The sequence below is a fragment of the Homo sapiens genome, chromosome 7 (genome assembly GCF_000001405.40).
Source record: "Homo sapiens chromosome 7, GRCh38.p14 Primary Assembly".
Classification (NCBI taxonomy): domain Eukaryota; kingdom Metazoa; phylum Chordata; class Mammalia; order Primates; family Hominidae; genus Homo; species Homo sapiens.
In genome coordinates, this window is record NC_000007.14 from 42,239,601 (window position 1) to 42,264,491 (window position 24,891).

A 24,891-nucleotide genomic window follows, 5' to 3' on the forward strand; every position below is an offset into this window, starting at 1 on the left:
ATCAAATAATAGAATAAACTAGATATTTCGACTCTTACTTCAGTCTTATAGCACATTTTGAATCATGAAGATCTTGATTTTTCAGTTCTTAAAAGACAAGAACAAAGCAAAAGCAGCTAATCTTTCCCCCTATGCCCGTCACAATAGCTAAACAAAAAAGAGGAAGAATAATGCTGTGTCTCTTATGTGTCCAACTCTGCTTTAATGGTAAACCCATACATATAAGTAGGCACATTTTGCAGAAACAGTGGAGGGGTAAAAAACCCACTTTGCCTGAGTGTGGGTTAAATAATGTCATAATGCAGTGACTTTCTCTCTGTGTTAACACCAGAACGCTTTCCAAATTAAATCTTACGTAGAATCCCAAAATATAGAAGAGTTATTATGGTTGAAATTGGAGTGAGGTCTCGGAGCCCAATCCCCCTAAGCCTTTCTCTCTTTCCCTTTCCTGCAGTTGCTCCTGAGACATCTGTAAAAACCCAAAGACACCCAGAAAGACAATGCTACAACCTTTGTTTGTAGTGATACACAGCACTAAGAGACTTACAGGATTCTGTGCACTGCCCTTCCTTGATGTCTGAAATTCTATCATAGATTGACTTATTGCCATCTCTCATCAGTTCTCTTTTCAAATGCAGATATCTTAAGAAATTTTAATATAGTAAGTCCTCAGAATAGTTAAGCTTTTAAGACAGACTTTCTTTCTTGTTGTTGCAACAGTGAAGTAGGAGATACTTGAAGATACTTGCATTTGTTTTCTAGGGCCATGGTAACAAAGTACCAAAAACTGGATGGCTTAAAGGACAGACATGTATTGTCCTATAGTTTCTAGAGGCTTGAAGTCCAAAAGTAAGGTGTCTTGCAGGGCCACACTCCCTCTGAAACCTGGAAAAGAAATTTCTCCCTTGCCTCTTACTGGCTTCTGGTGGTGGCTGTCAATCTGGGTGTCCCGTGGCTTGCAGCTTCTCCCTTTCAGTCTCCACCTCTGTCCTCATATGGCATTCTCCCTTTGTCTCTGGCTTCTCTTCTTATAAAAGCACGAGTTATATTCTGTTAGAGACCCACCCTACTCCAGAATGACCTCATCTTAACTAATTACATCTGCAACAAGCCTGTTTCCAAGATCATATTCTGAGGTTCCTAGGGTTAGAACTTCAACATTTTCTTCTGGGGGACATAATTCAACTCCTAACAACACTGCAAAAGATAGTGGGAGAGGAATGAAGGATACGCAAGAGAGAGAACAAAGGATGAACCTGGAAACAAACTTCACGTGCTCCTCTGATTCCTACCATGGGCCGATGTTATACAAATACTTTTCTCCCCTCACTTACCATGGCAGTTCTTCCATCTCCCTGCACAGTAGCACCCAGTTAATTATTGGAAAATTCCAGGAGGATAGTCCATGTGTACTAATAAACTTCAAGTTGCATGGGACAAAATTCCACCTCCAATTGACTTAAGTTAAACTTCAGAGGGATTGGGTGGCTGTTTTTATTGACAAAAAAGTCCAGAAACATGTAGGCATGCTTTAGGCAAAACAGGATCTAGGGGCTCCAATAACGTCTACTGGGTTCTGTTTTCATCTTTCGGCTCCACTTTATTCACACTTCATACAAAGTTTCTTTAGGCAACCGAGGAAGGTGGCCAGAGGCAGCTGCATTTTCATAATCAATCTGAGAGTTTGCATTCCCAGAAAATAATGACCTTTCCCAAGTGGATCCGATATTCCCCTTGGCCAGGCTCACCTCTCTAGGTTTCCTCCTGCCCACTCTGCTTTCCTGGGTCCTGGTGATTTTGCGTGTTCTGCACACACTTTGCCAGCCAGCCTGCATGTAAGGAAAGTACTAGGGAACAAAGGTAGATCCCTGGCCACATGAATCTCTCAGGAGTGCCTTGGGAAAGGAAACACTCTGGTGAAGAGTGGTTGGGCCTGAGCCTCCCCACGCTGACTGGCCAGCTGCCAGGAAGGAGAATACTTTTAAGTGCATCGCACACGGGGCCCTTCTTGGGGTCTCTCACTCAGCACCCGCGTAACTTGTTCTTCCATCTTCCTGGAACATTGGGATTATAAATGTAACCCAGATGTCTGCTGTGTCCCTCTTCACCTTGGAGATGTAGCTATAATTGGCTTGGACCTCCGCCAATCCCACAAGTTGGGAAGATCTAAAACCCTCTCTTTGGATTTCTGCAAATTTCAGAGCCCCTGTGGATGCTGTGTGACATTGACCCATACCCTATACTCAGATCCTTGCCTGCTCTTCTGGAAACTCGCTCACAGCGGGCATGAGGTGAGCATGGTGGATTTTACTCATCATTTAGGCAGCCTAGAGATGATTTTCTGTATCCCGCTTTTTCTAAATAAAATAATTTTCTCTCAGTTGTCTCAAACCAAACACTTCAGTAACCAGTGTTTTCTTGAGGTCTCTCCTTCCTTCCCTAGGAACTTATTTATGTGACCTGGTGGTTTCACCTGTCTCTTCTATCCCTCTGAGGCCTCTCCACTACCTTCATGACCATCTCTTATCCACCTGGCAGCAATGTTCTGTCTTTCTTTGAGTTTTCTTAAAGCTGGGTAACAAGCAGTGGTCTGTAGGGCAAATGTCATCTGCCAATGCATGTTAATTTGATATGCACCAGTAAATTTTGCATGCCTTCAGGTGAAGCCTGTACTCCTCATTTGGCCACAGTCGCTACCACTCCCTACAGCCTTATACTTGCAGCATCACTTGTTTACATAACTTGCCTCACTCCTGGAAACGTAGGTTTGCTACCTTTGCCCTAAACAATCCACTTACATAAACTGCAGGTTTTACCAAATCTTTCCGAAAACAGCCTATAAAGGAGAGGATGTGACATCAAACACATCACAGCAAATAGCTCCGACATTCCCCACTAGAATGTCTGTCCTTTGTCCTTCTCTAGTCATGCCCCCGTAGGGATATTTTTATTTACACTGTCCTTCTATTCAGTGCCCAACCCCACTGACTTCTCTTCCCTTAGGCAGAGCAATTCATATCTGTCCTGCCAAACCTTGTGTTCTGAGAGATTCCAGTATGCAGAAAAACAAAGAGCCCTCCAGTTAGCAGGACCCATCTTCCTTAGAAGATGGTTTACAGCATCTTGTACTAGTTGATCTTGTCTTTTAAGTTTCACCCCTAGTCACCTTGTCCCCACACCTAGAAGCTTGTGAATTTATTTTTTTCCAAAAACTATAAGGAATTCTTATGAGGAATTTTGGTGAATACAACCTCCTCTATTTTGTTACAAAAGAGATGGAGAAAATGGGGGCCACCCACCTGGGAATATAATGGAGAGTTTGGGATATTTCAAGGAAAGACAAGAAGCAGTGGTCATGAGCTTGGGAACCACAGTACCCCTGGGAAAAGGGCATTCCCCAACCTCTGTGGTATTCACAGGAGGAGCTCTGAGATCAGAGGGAGAGGTTAACATGAATGATAACAGGAAAAATGATCACCTTCCAGAAAAAACTACAGCAAAGCCAGTCAAGACCAGGTGAACTGGTAAAGAGCTTACAGTGTCCATGCGAGAACTTTAGTGAACACCAAAGAGACTCCTAGCAAGGGAAAGGAAGGACATAGGATCTCGGAGGCACAAGATTCCAATAGCGTGGAGCCAAGGGCCAGTGATGGTTTCTATACCTTTGTTACTCTAGCATCCCTTTCATGGTCCAGCATGACTAGGAAAAGTAGCACAAATTATACAGAGAATTTGGTAGGTGGGAGTTTGTCTATCTCTCCACCTGTAGCTCTCTCTTTGTCCATTGTGTGTAGCATACAGTTCTGCTTTTTATGATAGTGACTAGTAGCCTCACTTCTTTGGTGCTTTAATATTGATCAGATGCATATAAAAGAGAACAGGCCTGGATTTAAATCATTTCTCCATCATTACTAGCTTTGTCACTTTGCTAAATCAATTCACTCAGTTTGCCCATCTGTGAATTGGAGATAACGATATTCATCTCACAGAGTCATTGTGATTTAAAAAGAAAGTGAGATGGTGTAAATAAAGGAGTGGATCTACTATCCGGATTAGTAGATGCCAAGGAAAGCAAGTTTCTTCTTTCTCTCTACTTTTTTTAAACCAGCTGAGCCCCATGTTAACATTCACAACGTTTTCACACACAGTAAGTAGGATGCTTGAGATGTGGAGATTTATGTCTGTGCTCTGCCTCACCTGTGAAAGTGTGATTGATTTTGACTCATTCTTTTGTTGTTGTTGTTGTTGTTTGAGACAGAGTCTTGCTCTGTTGCCCAGGCTGGAGGGTAGTGGTGCAATCTCCACTCACTGAAACTTCCACCTCCCGGGTTCAACCAATTTTCCTGCCTCAGCCTCCCGAGTAGCTGGGATTACAGGCACGTGCCACCACACCCAGCTAATTTTTATATTTTTAGTAGAGACGGGGTTTTACCATGTTGGCCAGGCTGGTCTCGAACTTCTGACCTCAGGTGATCTGCCCACCTTGGCCTCCCAAAGTGCTGGGATTACAGGCGAAAGCCACTGCACCCAGCAGATTTTGACTAGTTCTTTCTACTGAAATATACAAAGGCACCAGATTATTTTAGGAGACTATTTCTTACAGAGGGTTCTTGGGAGTCCAATTTCTCCCCCAAGAGAAATTAGTTTCTTGTAGATACCATCCAGAGAAACACATATTCCACTTACTTTTTATTTGAAATAACAATGAAAAAAAATTCATTCTGCTAACTTCTTAAGCTCTACCAAAATTGGATATGTTTTAGAACATAAGGATACAAGTTTACATGTAGTGCCTTCCTATAGAGCACATTTCAGAGACAGGCATGCCAACCAGCACTTTTGTATGAAGTTTGTAAGTAAAATCAAAGTTGAGCCTGAAATACAAATTTATTGCAGCCTTCGTTGCTTGTTAACTTGAATTAATAGTGCCTGAGCAACTACAGTCAGACTTCATCTACACATGAAAAATGAAGTGGAGAATTGAGTAAATTATCTTTGTATGGGCCAGGCAATTAAGGCCAAAAAGCGGTTAGTTAGCCTGGATTATCCAGATTCTGGCCTTATCGGAAGGCTACATCAGAAAGTCAGAATAAAACACCTTTAAAAAAAAAAAAAGTAAAATAATCACAGTGTTGATTGGAAAGGTGCTGGGTAGATAGCCATCAAAGTTAGTTTCCCAAGGAAGGATCCCAGCCATGAAGAATTCATTCAAGCTTGCCCAAATAAGAGAGACTTGGTCAGTAATTAAACTCCTGCATATTTCTCAAGCCCAAAGAGAAGGCTTTCACTTGGACAAGGCACCTTTTACAATAGGTCTTCTATTAAAGACAAGGTTTTAGGAGTTTTTAGAGACTTTTAAAAATATTGTCAATTGTACCATGTTCTGGAGCAGGAATGGGCAAGGAGACTTGTGTTTCCCAAGGGAAATGACTCACGTCCCAGAATCATAAACTCAGCTCCAGCTTGCTTTCCAGGAGCCTTCACAAAAGGCTGTACTGGTTTATGCTGGACTGGGCCTTCCCATTCTTATCCCATTTGCAGAAGATCTCAGTGATGGCGATAGTGGAAGGAAAGTATTTAGTCCATCCACCTTGCTGTCAAGTCAGTGTGGAAGCTCCCTGGCCCTTAAGATTCAGCTCAGTGTTGACAACAAAGCCTGTAATCACAGTATTACAGTACAGCCTGTAATCACAGAATCACAGTAAATTTTACTTTTGCCGCTTCTCAGTCATATATTTTTGGGCAAATGACAAAACCATTCCTAGCTGCAGTTTCCTCACAGGTAAAATGGAATTTTAAGATCTACCTTCTCATGCCTGTAATCCCAGGCTTACTTTGGGAGGCTGAGGCGGGTGGATCATGAGGTCAGGAGTTCGAGACCATCCTGGCTAACACAGTGAAACCCTGCCTGTACTAAAAAATACAAAAAAATTAGCCAGGCTTGGTGGCAAGCACCTTTAGTCCCAGCTACTAGGGAGGCTGAGGCAGGAGAATTGCTTGAACCCGGGAGATGGAGGTTGCAGTGAGCTGAGGTCACACCACTGCACTCCAGCCTGGGTGACAGAGCAAGACTCTGTCTCAAAAAACAAAAACAAAAACAAAACAAAACAAAAAGATGTATCTTATAAAATAATTTAGAGAATTAAATATAATAATACTTATTCTATGCCAGGCACATAGGCAATCAACTTGATTTCATCACCCCTTATTTTAAAGATACTTAGAGTAGTTCCAGGATAGGATCGCAACAAACATTTGTTAAATGAAAGAAACAGAGAAAGAAAGAGAGAAAAAAGAAAGAAAAGGAAAAAAAAAAAAGGAAACCATGAGGGGAGATAGACCATAAGGAAATGAAGCTAAATATTCTTCTCAAATAGAAACTGGAGGGTTGTGTGGCATACAGGTCACCTCAGAGATCCAGAAAAATTGCTCTCAAGTTTGGGTTGAATTGCCTTGGACAGAGGCCCACTGCAGGAAACTCTGAAAAACCACTGTGCTAGGCACCCTCTTCTCACTCTCAGCTCCTCCCTTACCAACTTCCACCTCATGTGGTTCTGCAGTTGTGCATTCAAACACACGATAACATGCTGCTGTGGATTTCATAAACTCTAAATCCCTGAGATCCATGTGCCTGGAGTAGAAAGACTATGCCATGCCCATTACCCTTGACAGGGGAATGGACAGTCATGCTGCCAGGCCCAGATATCTGCCCACCCCTGACATGTTCATAGGGTTCAGCCAAACCCAACTCCTGGGTTTGGACACTGCTTTTCAATCTTCCCAGTTTTAACTCTCTCCCAACATACTCTGTATGCAGGAATGATGTGGGGGAATAAACTCATATGTGAAAGTTTTTTTGTTCTCATTTATTTACATGTTAGCAATTGTATGCTTTCTTTCTACTAGGCAAGGATGTCTCTGAGCACTGCATATACACTCCTAAGAGGGCAAGAATGACTGGCCATATCATGAAGCTGTATTGTTTTTAAAAGAGCAGAACTGTACATACAGAAAAACAAAACAAAACAAAACAAAACAAAACACTACATTGGACTCATGACTTGCAACCAAGGGAATCTCCAAGGTTATGTTCCTGTCTCTAAATAATATCTTTATGGCAGTCCCAAAACTGTTGAAGCTGTTATTTTCGGCGGTTGGTAAATGTTTAGTCCTTGGGAGTTAAAGGCTCATTGGATGATAGAATCTTTTTTTTTTTTTTTTTTTTTTTTTTTTTGAGGGACGATATCCTTTCTGCTGGGACTCTCTGAAAAAAGTCTGTGAAATCCTTGACACCTTCTGAGAATGGGTTTATATGCACTGCAGTCTTTTATGTGCCAACACCCTGAACAAGGCAAGGCAGTCTGTAATCACAGCCTTTGAATGTGGTGGTTCCATTAAGCCGGTTGTACAGGGGCAGGCCTAATGTCTGGCTTTTCAAAGTTTAGAGATAGATGCAGTTGTTTTATGTTGCTTTGAGGCAGATGTTGGCAAGGTGTTTAGATGCAGGAGGAAGAAGGGAAAGGTTGAACATTGAACCTGGGAGGTGGTGGTTCACTCTGGAAAAGGGATTCAATATTTTTATTATCGATTACAAGTACATTTTAACTAAAAATATAAACTCATAGCAGCATACCTTCGAGTCCTTTCCTAAAGACTCCCATATCTCAAATTGGTTGCTTTCTGCAACCACCGATGTCCTTCTTCCAGCCCCCAGTTGTATGGGCCGGAGGCTGGTTGTGGCTTGTAACCCAAACACCACTGATGTGGTGATCAGTGTGGGTTTCCAGGCTACCTGATGATTAAGAACTTCTAACCATGACACTGTACAGTCATTGTCTAGTGTATTGAGAGACAGCAATTCTTCCGCAGCTGTAAACATCCTGAGATCTCAGGGGGATCAAAGCCAACAAAGTTACAGAAAGGAAGAATGCAAAATATTCCATTCATTTTCCGGTCCACCACCAGGCGTCTGCTTCTTATTCTGCTTCCGTGTAAGTTTGTGGTGCATGGTCCAGTACTTCATTCTATGACTGGTTGACTTGAAAGCCCAAGTGTTAGGAGGGAATTAGAAACCACTGACCCTGCCATGGGCAGAAGCTGCAGTACCCTTCTACTGCACTATGCTTCCACCCATTCCTGCTGCTCAGCTCTTTCTTCAGGGAAGGTAGATGTAGCATCTGGTCAGGAGCCCTAGCTCTGGCTCCTTGTACAAGGAGTTTCTCTTTGCAAACTATTCTACAGTCACTCCAACTCCATCTGAACTGCGTGAGCAACACAGTGGCAATGCAGAATAAAATGAGCTCGTCCTAGGTAGAATAACAATGCTGCTTTTGAGCTTTCCTATCTGATCCATTAGACAGAATAGACAAGGATCTCTGATAGAAATATGTACCATGAAGAAATACAATGAGTGTTTGTTTCAGTATTTGGATCGGTATGTCAATAGATGGAACACTCTGGAAAAGGGATTCAATATTCCTATTATCAATTACAAGTACTTTTTAACTAAAAATATAAAATAGCAGCATACCTTCGAGTCCTTTCCTAAAGACCCCCATATCTCAAATTGGTGATAAACCAGAGAACTATAAAAGTTTATACAGTTTTTCCCTCAATGCATCCCTAGAAACCTTCTTGAGAAGCAAATCATCATAAAGTTGCTCATATTTTCCTATAGGGACAGTGCCATAATCAGGAGTGGAGATACTGACTAAGAATCTGGACTAAAATAAATCATAAATATGGCCACCGATCTACCATAAATGCAAAGCCATAACTGCTATAAACCTCAGTGATCACTTAACATTTTAAAATTATGTTCTAAATCACAGAGGCCTATCATTTTATTACTACCAGGGACCTTGGGGATTATCTTGTCCAGTCCACAATTTGGAGATAAGAAAATTTAAATCAAAGACGATTAAGTGATTTGCTTAATTTACTTAACAGTAGAGCCAGGAAAGGGCTGTGGCTCCATCTTTCCCCTCTGCTGAGTTCTTCCTTGGCAGTCCCCCACAAGTTAAACAGGTACATGCTGATAAGAAAAGGGTGAGGATATGCATATAGTAGATGGAAAAATTATTTCACCATCATGTGACCACATGTTAATATTTCTATTATAATAAAATATTAATTTGAGATCATTTAATAATTCTCTTATCCTCTTTTATTTTTTTATTTATTATTTTTATTCATTTATTTTTTTTGAGATAGGGTCTCCCTCTGTCACCCAGGCTGGAGTGCAGTGGTGTGGTCACAGCTCACTGCAGCCTCAACCTCCCTAGGCTCAGGTGGTCCTCTCACCTCCGTTTTTGTATTTTTAGTAGAGATGGATTTTCACCATGTTGGCTAGGCTGGTCTCCAAGTCCTGGGCTCAAGAGACCCATTCACCTCAGCCTCCCAAAGTGGCTGGGATTGATTACAGGCATGAGCCACTGCGCCTGGCCTTATCGAAATTTAGGAGAGTATTTTAAGGGACAAAAAAATTCCCTTTTCTCCTTCTTAATAAACTTTTCTAAGCAATCACAGACTCTCAAAAACATTCCGTTAGTACAGGAGTCTTTTACAAACTTTTTATGTAAAAGACCACAACTTTTCAGGCCATACAGTATCCACATGAACTATTGCGCTCTGCCATTGTATCACAAAAGCAGTCATAGAGCATACACGAAAGAATGGGAGGGGCTGTGTTCCTGTAATCTCTACCGATGGACACTACAATTTGAATTTCATATAGTTTTCATAATTTTTATGTGTCACAAAATGTTATTCCTTATCTGATTTTTTCCCCTCAACCATTAAAAAATATAGAAATCATCCTAAGCTTGTCACCTTACAAAAACAGGTGGAAGGCCATATTTAGTCTGTGGATTTGTTAACCTGTCTTAGTGGGAAGAAAAGGGGTGAGAGGTTCAACCCAGAAAGATTTAGTTTCAAAATTTGTTTATGCCTTGAGGTTGTGACTTAACTTTTCTATCTTCATTTGTCCACCTGTAAATGCAGGTGATGCTATCTATTTCATAGGGTGCTTGTGAGACCGACTGAGCTAACACTTAGTCATAGAGGGCCCAGTATAGACCCTGAGACTAACAGATCTTTAAATGTTAGTTCTCTTCCCTCCCTTTTCCTTTCCTAACCCTCATACAAGTACATATACACATGTACATGCACAAACACACACACACACACTTTTTGCTTTTAAAAAAAGTTACTGGCCAGGCACGGTGGCTCACACCTGTAATCCCAGCACTTTGGGAGGCTGAGTTGGGCGAATCACTTGACGCCAGGAGTTTGAGATCACCCTGGGCAACATGATGAAACCCCAACTCTACAAAAAATACAAAAATTAGCCAGGCATGGTGTTGCATACCTGTAGTCCCAGCTACTCTGGAGCCTGAGGTGGGAGGATTGCTTGAATCCAGGAGGTCAAGGCTGCAGTGAGCCAAGATCACACCACTGCACTTCATCCTGGGTGACAGAGCAAGACTCTGTCTCAACAACAAAAAAAAAGTTACTCTCTTTTCTTCTTATCTCTTTCCTTTTTCCCTTTCCAAGTTACCCACTGTAGCACTGAAGTATGTGAAGGCTTACCCAAGACTTGGGTTGTGATGGTTGGAAAATCAATTTTCTTTGTAATATGGACCATTTGTTTTCCCTTTGCTATTTTCACTCCTTAAAAGAAAAAAACCATACCAACAAACCACAAACAAGAAACCTCACATCTTTAGGAGTCCAAATGTAGGAAGCAACAGATATGAGGACTTGGGTGATTAACTAAGGCAAGAAGAAGAGAACTTTGACCAACTCATCTTGCTTCCAGGTAGATGGACTTCAGTTTGCTGACTGAGTCAGAATCCAGAGCCTTCCACAGCTGTCACAGGGAGTCATCACCAAGCTGAGATGTGTGGCCCAGCACTTGTTGCCATTTCTCAGGCCTTGACTCAGGGCCCAATCCAACTGACCTCCAACCAGCCAGAGCCATGTCCCCCATGACCAATTCTCCCCTCATTGCTGGAGCCTTGGGAAATTTCCACCAATGCACAGCCTGGTGCATGGCTAACACCAAAGTGCTCTAACCTTACTCTGAGTCACCAACAACTCTAAAGAGAGGGACAGGAAGTGCCAAAAGGGCAGCTGGGTGGATTTGTATGGAGGAAAAGGCGGGTGGGGGGGCTGCCATTTTCCTTCACATAAAGGCCAGCGGGGAGTTGGGAAAGGGCGAAAGAATAGGAACATATCACGGACATTTACCTCTGTAATCAGACCTCTAAATACACATTAGAAAAGTTGCCTACCTTCTTCCTGTCTTCCTCAGTCATTGCTACAGAAACAGGGGACAGACTGGGGCCCCTCAATTTAGGCATCCGCCCATGTACTAGTCAGGAAGTATGAAAAAGCATGGTGGGGAGCTGGGGATTCATGAGTTGATGGAACCATAATTTCTGTTCCCAGAAAGCTTATGCTAATGAAGAAGGGGCAGGCAACACACAAGAAAACAAAAGTGACCATGCCCTTGTTAAGTACTGTCCTGGGGCAACACTGGGCCTTAGGAACTCCTAAGAGGGCCTCTGGTCCAGCCGCCCCCAACCTTTTCTGCACCAGGGACTGGTTTCTTGGAAGACAATTTTTCCACAGGTTGGGGAGTGGTATGGGAGGGATGGTTTTGGGATGAAACTTTCTACCTCAGATCATCAGGCATTAGATTCTCACAAGCAGCACACAACCTAGATCCCTTGCAAACACAGTTCCCAATAGGGTTCTTGCTCTGGTGAGAATCTAATGCTGCTGCTGATCTGACAGGAGGCAGAGCTTAGGCGGCGATGCTCTAATGCTCGCTTGCCGCTCACCTCCTGCTGTGCAGCTGGAGTAGGGGGAGTTGGGGGAGTGGCTGGGGACCCCCCTGCTCTAGTCTAGTCTGTGCTTGATAGGGAAAGAAATAACAGTCAGAGGAAATGACACACACTAGGCTAAGGGAAGGATAAGGAGAGCAGAGAGAGAAGAAAGAGGGAGAGGGAGAGAAGAGCTGGCATTTGGGGGTTCCTACTACATGCCAGGCATCATTCCTGGATGTTTATGTGTATGGCCTCAATTATGACGTGGTTACTATGATGATCCCCTTTTACATGATGGAACAGAGAGGTGAGGTTACCTGCTCAGTGTTACACAGCCAATAATTGGCAAAACTAGAATTCAAATCAGGCATTCTGGCTCCAGAGCCTCCACTCTTAACCACTACACAGAGAAAACAGCAGGAGAATATGGCGTGTTCAGAAGTAATGGCAAGTTATCTAGTGTGATCGAGTGGAACCACACTCATGAAACAGTTGCATCAAAAAATGAACACACTCTGACAATTCCTCAAAGAACTGAAAACGGAACTACCATTTGCAATCCGATTACTGGGTATATACCCAAAGGAATATAAATCATTCTACCATAAAGACAAATGCACACTGCAGCACTATTCACAATAGCAAAGATATGGAATCAATCTAAATGCCCATCAAGGATAGACTGGGTAAAGAAAACGTGGTACATATACACTACTGAATACTATGCAGCCATAAAAAAGAATGAGATCACGTCTTGTGAGAACATGGATGGAGCTGGAGGCCATTATTCTTAGCAAACTAATGCAGGAACAGCAAACCAAATACCGTATGTTCTCACTCATAAGTGGGAGCTAAACAGTGAGAACCAATGAACACATAGAGGGGAACAACAGACACTGGGACCTACTTGAGGGTGTTGGGCGGGAGGAGGAGGAGGATCAGAAAAAATACTAGGCTTAGTACCTGGGTGATGAAATAATCTGTACACCAAACCCCATGACACACGTTTACCTTTATAAATAACAAACCTGCACATGTACCCCTGAACCTAAAATAAAAGTTAAAAAGAAATGAACACACTTAACATATAGTGCACAGAGGGACTCCTCAATACTATTCTCACTATTATACACACAAAAAGTGATTATTGGAGCAAGCTGGATAGAATTTGAGTCACCTCTATGATGCTTGCTGAGAAAGCTACGTTTTCTTTATATTATATAATTATTTCAAGAAAAGTAAAAGTATTAAAGAAGATACTAATATAAAATGTATATGAAAGTTCTAAATGATATCTTTTTAACATTTTTGGTGAAACACTTGAGCTTGCTTCCACAAACATAACTTTTATATAACAGATTTTAGGCTTCAAATGGTTACAGGGAACTTCCAATTAAGAGTTTTTAATGTCCATCTTTTAAAAGTCTTGATAGTCACCATCAATGAGAAATTTCAACCAGAGAGACAGGTAATAAAACATTTAAAATGTTTTATTTTGCAACCATTCAAAATGGTACAAAAGTTGAAATTATTAAAATGTCTAAAAGCTCTTTTTCTTTCATTGACAAAGGTGGAAACGAGAAAGGATTTCCAAAGCAATCATAGTCTTAAATAATTTCAAGATAATGGTGGAGCTTGCATTAGCAGAAACCACGTGCAATTTTAGGGCAGACGCCTTGTAGCTAGCTGAGCCACGACTAAAAGGACATGTCATCCACAACCAGACAGATGTATTCAATTATGTGAAGAAAGAGTTTCCTGCCCCACAACCATCAGCATCTTGGGAGGCTCACTGTGCCCCTGGTGCACCTGGAATATGAACTTCACCAGCATCTCCAGAAGCACCTTGTTCACAGTGCACAGTGGCTTGCTCCATGGCTGCTGCTCGGGGAGACATCCAAGCCTGGTGTGCTCAGCGCATCTGCAGCAGAGCAGCAGGCATTAGTTGGGGCTCCCCATTCCTCCTCCTGGGATGGGGATACACCCTTAGACCTGCTGTGCCACCCTTTGAGAAGCCCTGCACAAGGCTGCTCCCAGCCTGAGGCTACCAGCTTGGCTGCCCCAGGGCTGAACGAATCAATTTCTGATGGCATATCTGTGACTCATTCATGGCTCACCAATTGGGAACTTCTGAATTAAATAGTTCTTAAGCATGAAGTCTCTGGAGCCAGACTGCTTAGGTTTGAATCCCAGTTTCTCCTCTTCCCACTCTGTGTCTTTTGGGTAAGTTAATTAAAATTTCTATTTCCCAGCTTTCTCATCTGTAAGGTCCTAGGCCTTTGTTTACATTAGTTGACTTTACACATGAAGTGCTTTTGACTTGTCCTCAGTACTCAATAAATGTGGGCCATGATTGTTACGCTAAGATCCTTGAGTTGAGCATCACTTAGTGACTGAATTTTGATACAGGTTTAATTGTTGAGATCTTTACCCTCCAAGTCTTTTTTTGGGATTTTCTTAAGGCAAAGGCGAGTCACTGAAATGTAGTTGTTATTTAAAAGCAATGGGCCGGACATGATGGTTCACGCCTGTAATCCCAGCGCTCTGGGAGGCCGAGGCAGGTGGATCACATGAGGTCGGGAGTTCAAGACAGGCCTGACCAACATGGTGAAACCCTATCTTTGCTAAAAATACAAAATTAGCTGGGCATGGTGGTGCATGCCTGTAATCCCAACTACTCAGGAGGTTGAGGCAAGAGAATCACCTGAACCTGGGAGGTGGAGGTTGCAGTGAGCCGAGATTGTGCCACTGCACTCCAGCCTGGGCAACAAGAGCAAAACTCCGTTAAAAAAAAAAAAAAAGCCAATGGAATAGAGGATATCGCCTTGGGCACGAATGTAGGGTGAAAACCAAGATGACCTAGTTCACAGCCTGAAGCCCAGCATGTGGGCGGAATGCAGGTGAAGGAGGCCATAGCGAAAGAGTGGCCAAAAATATAGAAGAAAATCCTATCTTTATAGGTTGGCCAATATGATGACACAAGAGTGAGGAAAAGAGAGTATTTCAAAAGGGTTGACTGGCCGACTGGGTTGAATGCTGCTGAGAGAGCAAGTGGGAGAGCATTTAAATGTGTCATGGATTGAGCAATAGTTGTCATCAGTGACTTTAGTCAGAACATTATATGGCCTACATAGCCTGAAATGTTTGTTATCTGGCTCTTTACAAAAAAGTTGGCTGATCCTTGATCTGTAGTGAGTGATTTTTCTAAATGCCAGATATAATTCAATAATTTCTCATTGCTCTCAAAATAAAATCCAAATTTTTTTCTGTAATGAAACCTAGATCCTGGGTTCAAACCCATCTCATGCTACCTGCCCACTGCCTCTTCCACTTTTCGGTCTGTTCTCTGTGTTTCTCTCTGCCTATCAATCTCTCTCTTGCAATGTTTGTTATCTGTCTCTTTAAAAAAAAAGTTGGCTGATCTTTGACCTGTAGTGAGTGATTTTTCTAAATGCCAGATATAATTCAATAATTTCTCATTGCTCTTAAAATAAAATTCAAAATTTTTCCTGTAATGAAACCTAGATCCTGGGTTCATACTCATCTCTTGCTACCTGCCCACTGCCCCTTCCACTTTTCCATCTGCTCTTTGTGTTTCTCTCTGCCTATTTATCTCTCTCTTACATCTTTTTTTTTCTGTTTCTGTTTTTTTTTTTGCATCTTTGTGCATAGGATTCTTTTAGTTTGGAACGCTATTTTTTTCTTCCCCACTTTCTATCTTCCCTTCACCCTATTGTTAATGCTACACTACAAAATTATGGTCTTCTTTCAGATAAAAAAATAAATGTATTTTCCTTAAAAATGATTTTCCTGACCCTCTCCATCTAATTTGGTCATCCTGTTACACTCTCTCATAGCACTGCCAGCCTTATCATTGTTTTAAACAGCTTTATTAAAGTATAATTTGCATTCCATGAAATTTATCCATTGTAGGTATACAATTTAATAATGTTTAGTAGATTTATAGTTGTACAGCCATCATTACAATCCCATTTTAGACAGTTTCCATTACCTAAAAGAAAAATCCCTCATGTCTGCGTGCATCAATTCCTGCTCCTGCCTTCAGTCTTAAGGATTGCTAATATGCTTTCTATCCAAGTTTGCCTTTTAGGGACATTTCATATACACAGAATCATATAATACATAGTCTTTTACATCTGGCTTTATTTACTTAAATAATGGTTTTGTGGTGCATTTATGTGTAGCGTATTTATTCGTCTTCATTGCTGAAGAGCATTCCATTGTATAGATGCCCTACATTTTGTTTACCTACTCATCAATTGATAGGCATTTGGCTTGTTTTCAGTTTTTGGTGATGATGAATAATGCTTCGATGGACAGTCATATAAGTGGCTTTGTGTGGACATATGTCTTAATTTCTTTTGGATAGTTTCCTAGTAGTAAAATTGCAGGGTTGTATGGTGAGTTATGTTTCACTTTTTAAGAAACTGATGAACTGTTTTCCAAAGTGGCCATACCATTCTGCATTATGACTGGCAATACATAACGGTTCCAGTTTTTCCATATTCTCACCCACACTTGGTGTTCACTTTTTGTTTATAGTTATTCTAGTCAGTGTGTAGCGGTATCCCATTGTGGCTTTAACTTTTGTTTCCCTGTGAGTAATGACTTTGAGCATCTTTTTATGTGTTCATTAGCCATTTTCATATCTTCTTAGTGAAATTTCTTTTAAAATATTCTGCCTATTTTTAATGTTTTTTAATCTTATTGTGTTGTAAGAGTTCTTTACATATTCCAGACACAAGTAATTTATAAGATATATGATTTGCAAATATTGTCTCCCAGTTTGCCTTGTCTTTTTTATCAGTTGAAGCACAAAAGTTTTTAATGTTGATGAAGTCCAATTTATCAGCTTTTTTTTTTAATGGATCATGTGTTGGTTTCTTACCTAATAATTCTTCACCCATCCCAAGATATTGAAAATTTCTCCCTTCACTTTTTCCAGAAGTTCTATATTTTTAGCTCTTAGATTTAAGTTTATAATCAATTTTGAGTTAATTTCTGCATATGATGTGAGATGAGGGTCTGAGTTTATCATTCTGTATGTGGATATCCAAAGACTGCTGTACCAATCGTTGAAAAGACTATCCTTTTCCTTTCTAGTTGTCTTTGCATCTTTGTTGAGCACAGGTTCACTATAAACACAAGGATATATTTCTGGACTATCAAGTGTATTCCATTCATCCATATGCCTATCCTGCATTAATATCATACTGTATTTCTTACTGTGGCTTTAGAGTAAGTTTTGAAATTTTGTAGTATGAGGCTTCCAAATTTGCTTTTTCCCCCAAAATTGTTTTGGCTACCCTAGATCTTTTGTTTTTCATATAAATTTTATAATCAGTTTGCTAATGTCTACAGAAATGCCAATGGAAATTTTGATAAGGGTTATCTTCAATTTAAATATCAATTTCCAAAAGCTGTTATATTATTTTTGAGTCTTCCAGTCCATGAATATGGAATTTCTCTCCATTTATTTAGATCTCCTTTAATTTTTCTTTGCAGTGTTTTGTAGATTTTATTTCACATGTCTTGCATATTACTTGTTAAACCTAGCCCTAAATTTTTATTCTTTTTGATGCTATTTTGAATTCAATTTTTTAAACTTTATTTTAAGATTTTTCTTTGCTAGTAAGTAGAAATACCATTGATTTTGATATATTGATCTTGTATCTTGAACCTTGCTAAAATAGTTAATTAGTTCTAGTGGTTTTAGGATTTTCTACATACAAAATTATGTCATTTGCAACTAAGAGAGTTTTACTTCTCCAATCTAGATACCACTAAATTTTTTTTCTTTTTCTTTCTTTTTTTTTCTTCCCTATTGCACTGGCTCTCTGGTGCAATGTTGAATGACAGCAGCAAAAGCAGGCCCCTGATATTAGGTGGAAATCATTCAGTCTTTTTTTTTTTTTTTTTTTGAGACGGAGTCTCGCTCTGTCGCCCAGGCTGGAGTGCAGTGGCTCACTGCAAGCTCCGCCTCCCGGGTTCATGCCATTCTCCTGCCTCAGCCTCCCGAGTAGCTGGGACTACAGGTGCCCGCCACCACACGTGGCTAATTTCTTGTATTTTTAGTAGAGATGGGGTTTCACCGTATTAGCCAGGATGGTCTCCATCTCCTGACCTCGTGATCCTCCCACCTCGGGCTCCCAAAGTGCTGGGATTACAGGCATGAGCCACCGTGCACGTCCCATTCAGTCTTTTACTGTTAAAAATGCTGTTAGATGTGGATATTTCACAGATTCCCTTTATCAGAATCTATAAATCTATTCTTAGTTTGCTGATTGTTTTTTAAAAAAAAAATCATGAATGGATACTGAGTTTGTCAAATGCTTTTTCTACATCTATTAAGATAATTATTGTTTTTATCATTTAGTCCATTACTATGGTATATTATATCCATTGCTTTTTGTATATTAAGCAAACCTTGTATTTCTGAGATAAAAGCCACTTGGTCATGGTGTAGAATTCTTTTTGTATGTTGCTGGATTTGGTTTGTTGAACTTTGTTAAAGAGTTTTCTATGTTCATGAGGAATATTGAACTATATAGTTTTCTTTTCTCGTGATGTCCTTGTCTATGGCACTCTGTAATTCTTTACACGCTGGATTTTATACACACACCTGCTATATATACTATGTATAACCCAATCATAATGTGATTAATGTGCGTCTCTCCAACTAGACTGCAAGCTCCATGAGGTCACAGATGTTTTCTGTCTTGTACACTTCTGTGTATTATACATACTGAATTCATAAAAACAGGATATCCAGGGCACCATTATTTTATATTTTGATTTGAACATGAAACAAATATTGTCACCTGTATGACCAACATTTTTAGCACACTTTGCTCTTATTTAGCTCTGGTCAATATACTGTAATCAAGTAGGATTTTGTCTTTTTTGTTGTTGATAAATGTTAATGAAGGAGTGTAGAGATACATCTGTCTAATCTTTGTATTGGCTCTTCATTTCATACTCTGAAGGTGATTTTGAATCCAGAATCTGTTGCCCTCCATGAGTTACTGTATTCTCTTCAAATTGTGTTAAAATGCCTTCTTGGTTTTCCTATACATGATTAAGATGTCACCATAACTCTCTTCTTCCATTTGGGCTACAATAACAAAATAGCATAGCCTAAGTGGCTTATACAGAATAGAAATTTATTTCTCCAGCTCTGGAGGCTGAGAAGTCCAAGAGCAAGGTGCCACAATGACTTCTTGATTGATGAATGGCCATCTTTTCACTGTAACCTCACATGACAGAATGGGTGAGGGAGGACCCTTGGGCTTGTTTTATAAGGGCTTGAATCCCATTCACGAGATCTCTGCCCTCCTGACCTAATCACCCAACAAAGGCACTACTTCTCAAATCATATCCTGGGGATTAGGATTTCAACATATGAATTTTGGGGGGACACAAACTTTTGGCCCATAGCATTATCTTTCCTGATTGGCACACAGAAAATGTGCTTGGGTTTTCTTTTTTCTGTCTGTTTCATTTTTCAGACTGCAGTTGAAATTGTCTGAACTAGTTTGTTGTTTACTCTTTTATGTGCTCTATCTCTGAGCTGATGGGCTCCATGGCAGACCTCCACCACCTTGGTCACCTGTTAACATTACAGATTGTCCAAGCAGTCAAATTACCCTAAACTTGTTCATCATCTAGTTCCAAGCTTAGCTAAGGAACGGTTTCGTTGTTTTTAGCATGCTTTCAAATATTCAACTCAATCTGAGCTTTGACCATTGCTACATTATTCTTATAAACAAATGCTACCATTTTTGTGTCTGTGAAGTAAAATAAAGAAGGCAGTTCATGAGCCTGTCAACCATACTCTGACATGCAACAAATATAAACATCTAATGGGTTGCTTTTCTTCATCAGTAAATGGTAGCATTATCTTTAGGGCTTAGAACTCTGTTTTAAGTGGCATTTTATAGAGAAGTGCTTAAGAATGTAGCTGTTCCTAGTTAAGCTCTAGCTCTAAGTCAGTTTCTTAATCTGTAAAACAAAAATGACAACAATTATAATTTATTCTTTTGCTGTTAAGATTGAATAATATAACTTACATAAAGCACTAGTACAGTGCCTGACACATAGTAAGTTCACAATGTATTGTTTTGTTATTATTATTGCTGAACATGATATTAGCATTCAGTCTACACTTGTAGGGATTTCTGCATGATAGAAAATTATTTGTGACCCCTCGTGCAAGTAGTGAAGGTTTGAGATCATGTCTTTTTTGATAAACGCAGATGACCTTGCATTTTCCTGCAGTCAGTAATCTCTGACAATTAGCATTACCCACCAAAAGAAGACATTTAGGATCCAAATCAATAGCATATATAGTGCCTTCCCCTTTGCTTTTGACTCAAAATTGCTTGGATCCAGCTAACAAAATTTAATTTTTAAAAATAAACCTGTGGGCATCTATCTTCTACTCATTGCATTGTTGTGTATTAAGGCAAAGCAGCTTTGTCTGTGGTATGCATAGCATTGTATGCATCTGCTGTTGCAGCCTTTCAGGACTGTAGTTTGGTTCTGTGTATGTACAAAACAACTAGGAAATTTACCATGAGAAAATGCTGACTCAAAATGCCTGTATCCCCAAAGAAAATATTTGTCAGGAAGATCATTGTAGATACTTGGAAGGGAGTAAAGAAATTATAGAATTCAATTTTGTAGCAAATCACACTGGCTAGAGCATCTCTAGAGCATATGATAATTTCTGCAGGGTGAGAAATGACATATATAATGAACATCTACGTACCATTTGACAATTTCTACAAATAATCTCCCTAACAGAATCAAGTCCATGAATGTTCACAGATCTGTTGGAATTCCCACTGCTCCTTACACGTGTTGTACTGTATTTAAATAGAAGCAATGTAAGAGTCCATTTATTATTTTACGCATTCAACTGTCAAAATATTGAATAGCTGTTATACTTCTCTGGTAAGATGACCATAACACATATGAAAGGTATTATATTTTTAAAAGAGTATGTATGTATACTATGTGTGTGTATAAGTATATACCTATGCAGAAATAGGACAAGTTAGCAAGAATCTAAACTAAACAATTACCTCTTGTCAATAGAATTTTGATGAGCAAGGTGTGAGAATGTTCATTTTCTTTATTATATAATTAACAAAACAAGTGGTATGTCTGATTTACATGTTTAAAAGTTTAACTACAACGTAGTGAATGAAGGGCCAGGGACAAGAGTAAAAACAAGAAGGGCAAGAAGATGTATCTCAATGAAAGGTGATGTTGGCTTGCATCTGAGTGAAATGAAGTGAACATGGCAACAAAAGAATGAATTTTGAGTACATTTTGCATGTAGAGACAGCAATCTCAATTTTCCTGATAGAGAGGGGGCAGAGTGAGAGGGAAAGAGTGAAATAAAGGATGACTCCTGGTTTTTGGCTTGAGAAACTGGGTAGTTGGTGGTGCTATTTATATATTCACAATCCATACGTTCAGGCAACTACAAGGTGTGCAGCATGGCTAGAGCATACTCTCTGTGTTAGTCCATTCTTGCATTGCTATAAAGAAATACCTAAGACTGGGTAATTCATAAAGAAAAGAAGTTTAATTGGCCTACAGTTCTGCAGGCTTTGCAGGAAGAATGGTGCTGGCATCAGCTCGGCTTCTGGGAGGCATCAGGAAGCTGACAATCATGGCAGAAGGCAAAGGTGGAGCAGGCATGTCACATGGTGACAGCAGGAACAAGACACACACACAAACACACACACACACACACACACAACACACACACAGAGAGAGATTATGGGGTGCGGGGAGGTGCCACACATTGTAAATGATCAGATCTCATGAGAACTCACTATTGTTAAGACATCACCAAACCATGAGGGACCCACCCCCATAGATCAAATACCTCTCACTAGGCCTCACCTCCAGCATGGGGATTACATTTCAACATGAGAGCTGGGCAGGCTCAAATATCCAAACCAGATCACTCCTCATCCATCCATCCATCCATCCTCAGCTATCCACTAACCGTTCACTGTATGCAAAGCCAGGGTTCTAGATTCAGGAATGACAAACCAGAGTCCCATTCTCATGAAACTTAGTTGGGGGAGTTACACAAGAAGTAAACAAGGAAAGATTTCATAAGTCAGACTATATATTTTATATGAATGTAATAATTATATTAGGCCTTACTAATATACTCAGTACATTAGTTTGTGTAGTAGTTATACTAGGTCTTACTATTCAGCAAGCCATAGACTGCAGGATGAGGCAGTGCCTGATTATAGGTGCCCTGCAAAGAGGATTGGCTTTGATAAAGTATTCTTTAAAGATAGAGATTTAAGTGAATTGAAAAGTGAGTTGAAGTCTGGGTTGACCCTGGCATCATAAGGAACAGTCTTTGTTTTCTTTCCTTCCCTTCCTTTCCCTTCCCTTCCTTTCCCTTCCCTTCCTTTCCCTCCCTTCCTTCCTTCTTCCTTTTCTTTCTTCTTTTCTTTTCTTTCCTTTTTCTTCCTCTCTCTCTCGCTCTCTCTTTCTTTCTTTCTTTCTTTCTTTTCTTTCTTTCCTTCCTCTCTCTCTCTCTTTCTTTCTTTCTTTCTTTTTTCTTTCCTCCCTCTCTCTCTCTTTCTTTCTTTTTCTCACTCTCTCAGCCAGGCTGGAGCGCAGAGGTGCAAACACGGTTCACTGCAGGCTCAACCTCCTAGGCTCTTTTTTTTCAGCCTCTTTCTTTTTTCTTTCTTTTATTTTTTTTCCTTCCTTCTTTCCTTCCTTCCTTCTTTCCTTCCTTCCTTCCTTCCTTTCTTCCTCCCTCCCTCCCTTCCTTCTTTCTTTCATAGGGTCTCACTCTGTCATCCAGGCTGGAGTGCAGAGGTGTAAACATGGGTCACTGCAGTCTCAACCTCCTAGGCTCAAGCGGTCCTCCCACCTCAGGCTCCCAAGTAGCTGGGAACACAGGTACATGCCACCACAGCCAGCTAATTTTTTTAAATTTTGTAGAGATAGGGTATAACCATGTTGCCCAGGCTTGTCTCAAACTCCTGGGCTCAAGCCATCCTCCTGCCCCGGCCTCCCAAAGTACTGGGATTACAGGCCTGAGTCACTGCATTTGACCAGTCTTTGTTTTCTAACTAGTCACTAAGTGAATTCAGAATTTCTGGGGCAGACTCTCTCACTGGTTCAGCATGTTTAAGAGTTACTTTATGGCTCTATAAATAATGACAGTGCAACATTTTAAAGAATTAATTTAAAGAAACTCACACTTTGGAAATGGTCCTTATTTATCAGCCCAAATACCTTTTTGTTGTTTTATCCATTCCTAAGAATTTTGAAGATACTTTCCTAACATTACTTTTTAAATTATTCATGCTACATACATTTTATTTATCTTTATACCTAAGAGGGATTCCATTTTCTCTGCATTTCCTACTGACTGGCAGAAGATAGAACCCAGTGTTTCTCCCCAGACAGAGCAGTGCCTTGCAAGGCAAACCAGAATATCTGCACTTTTTTTTTTTTTAATGATTAATACCACAGGATATGGTCTTTGGCGAGAGCTATGGAACTAGACTAAGGAGTGTTCTTCAGGTCCCTGGGCCTGTAATTATCCGAGGCATACATGCCAGATGGGCCACGTGCCATCGCCATGGTGACCCACGGCAAAGGCATCTCTTTCCTGGCAACTTGAGAACAGCAGATCCAGCATAGCTGGTCTCGTGTACGCCTTCTGAGTGCTTACTATAGATACAAAATGAGAGAAGCAAAGGCTCTTTCCTGGCTATGACAAGAGCTCAAAGGGAGTTACTGGCACTTTCATGTCCATTACCATAACAAGAAAGTGCCTCCCCCTTGCCAGTGACAAGTTTATGTGCCTATGTTAACTAAAAGGGAGAGCTGTGATGCTTCTTAGGTGGAAGGGTTGAAAGACACTGTGGGTCAATGTGTACATTCTTGCACCTTTTGATTTTTCAAGAACTCATAAACATCTTCTTACCTTATTTTATTTATTTTTTTTTTTTGAAAAGGGGGTCTCACTCTGTTTCCCAGGCTGGAGTGCAGTGGTGTGATCTCTGTTCACTGCAACCTCCTCCTCACATGTTCAAGCAATTCTCCTGCCCCAGCCTCTGGAGTAGCTAGGATTACAGGAGCGTGCCACCATGCCCTGCTAATTTTTTGTATTTTTAGTACAGATGGGGTTTCACCATGTTGGCCTGACTGGTCTCTTACTCCTGACTTAAAGTGATCTGCCTGCCTTGGTCTCCCAAAGTGCTGGGATTACAGGCGTGAGCCACCGCACCCCACCAGATCTTGATGCCTTTTGAAATTCCCCTAGCTGTATGCTGCAGAGGCTGCAAGTGTCTGGTGGGGTTAGATCAGTCTTTTTTGTCCCATATATCAGGATATTTTTCTGCTATGAAACATACAACAACAACAACAAAAACAGCAACGACCACAACAAAACAGAATAGCTGAATAAAATGATTTGCAGAGGTTATTGCTAACTTACCTACCTAGAAATCTGGAGATAAAAAATTCTAAAATCACTTACTCTGGCAGCTCAGCAATGTGAGGCTGCTGGGATCGCTTCACTCTGATTGTGTTGGCTGTCTCGTCATGGTCATGAGATGGGCTGTCCAGGCATCCAGCAGCACTTCCCTACCCAAAAATGTCCAAAAGCACGAAGGGCCTTGTCTCAGAAGCCTATCAGGAGACTTCCCAGTATGTCCATTGGCCAGGCGTGGGCCACATGACACCCACCTCTTGGCAGAGGGCACTGGAGTTACCATGAATGCCAGTTAGGGCTCAAACCCTGAGAACACTGACACCTGATACACCAATACAATCAGAGTTCTTTTGGCAAAGAAAGGAAGGCATCTAGGAGTGCCTGCTGGCTCCTGAGAAAGGACAGTCATTGGAGGCTTGTTCTTTGTTTCTTGCTGCAGGTGGGACGTCCTATTAGCTTTCTATTAGCTTTCTAATATTAGCTTTCTCATTCTCTCTAAAATTCTAAATCACCGGATTCTCTGATGACCTGTATTTTTTCTCA

The 24,891-nt window shown here is 40.7% G+C and overlaps 1 protein-coding gene across 1 annotated transcript in view; it reads right to left on the reverse strand.

Annotated features, from left to right (window-relative positions):
- GLI3 (GLI family zinc finger 3) overlaps positions 1-24,668 on the reverse strand; it is a 303,320-nt gene extending 278,652 nt beyond the window's left edge. Inside the window, exon 1 of the mRNA XM_047420208.1 lies at positions 24,394-24,668. The gene's annotated coding sequence lies outside the window, so the exon portion shown is untranslated. The remainder of the gene's footprint in view (positions 1-24,393) is intronic.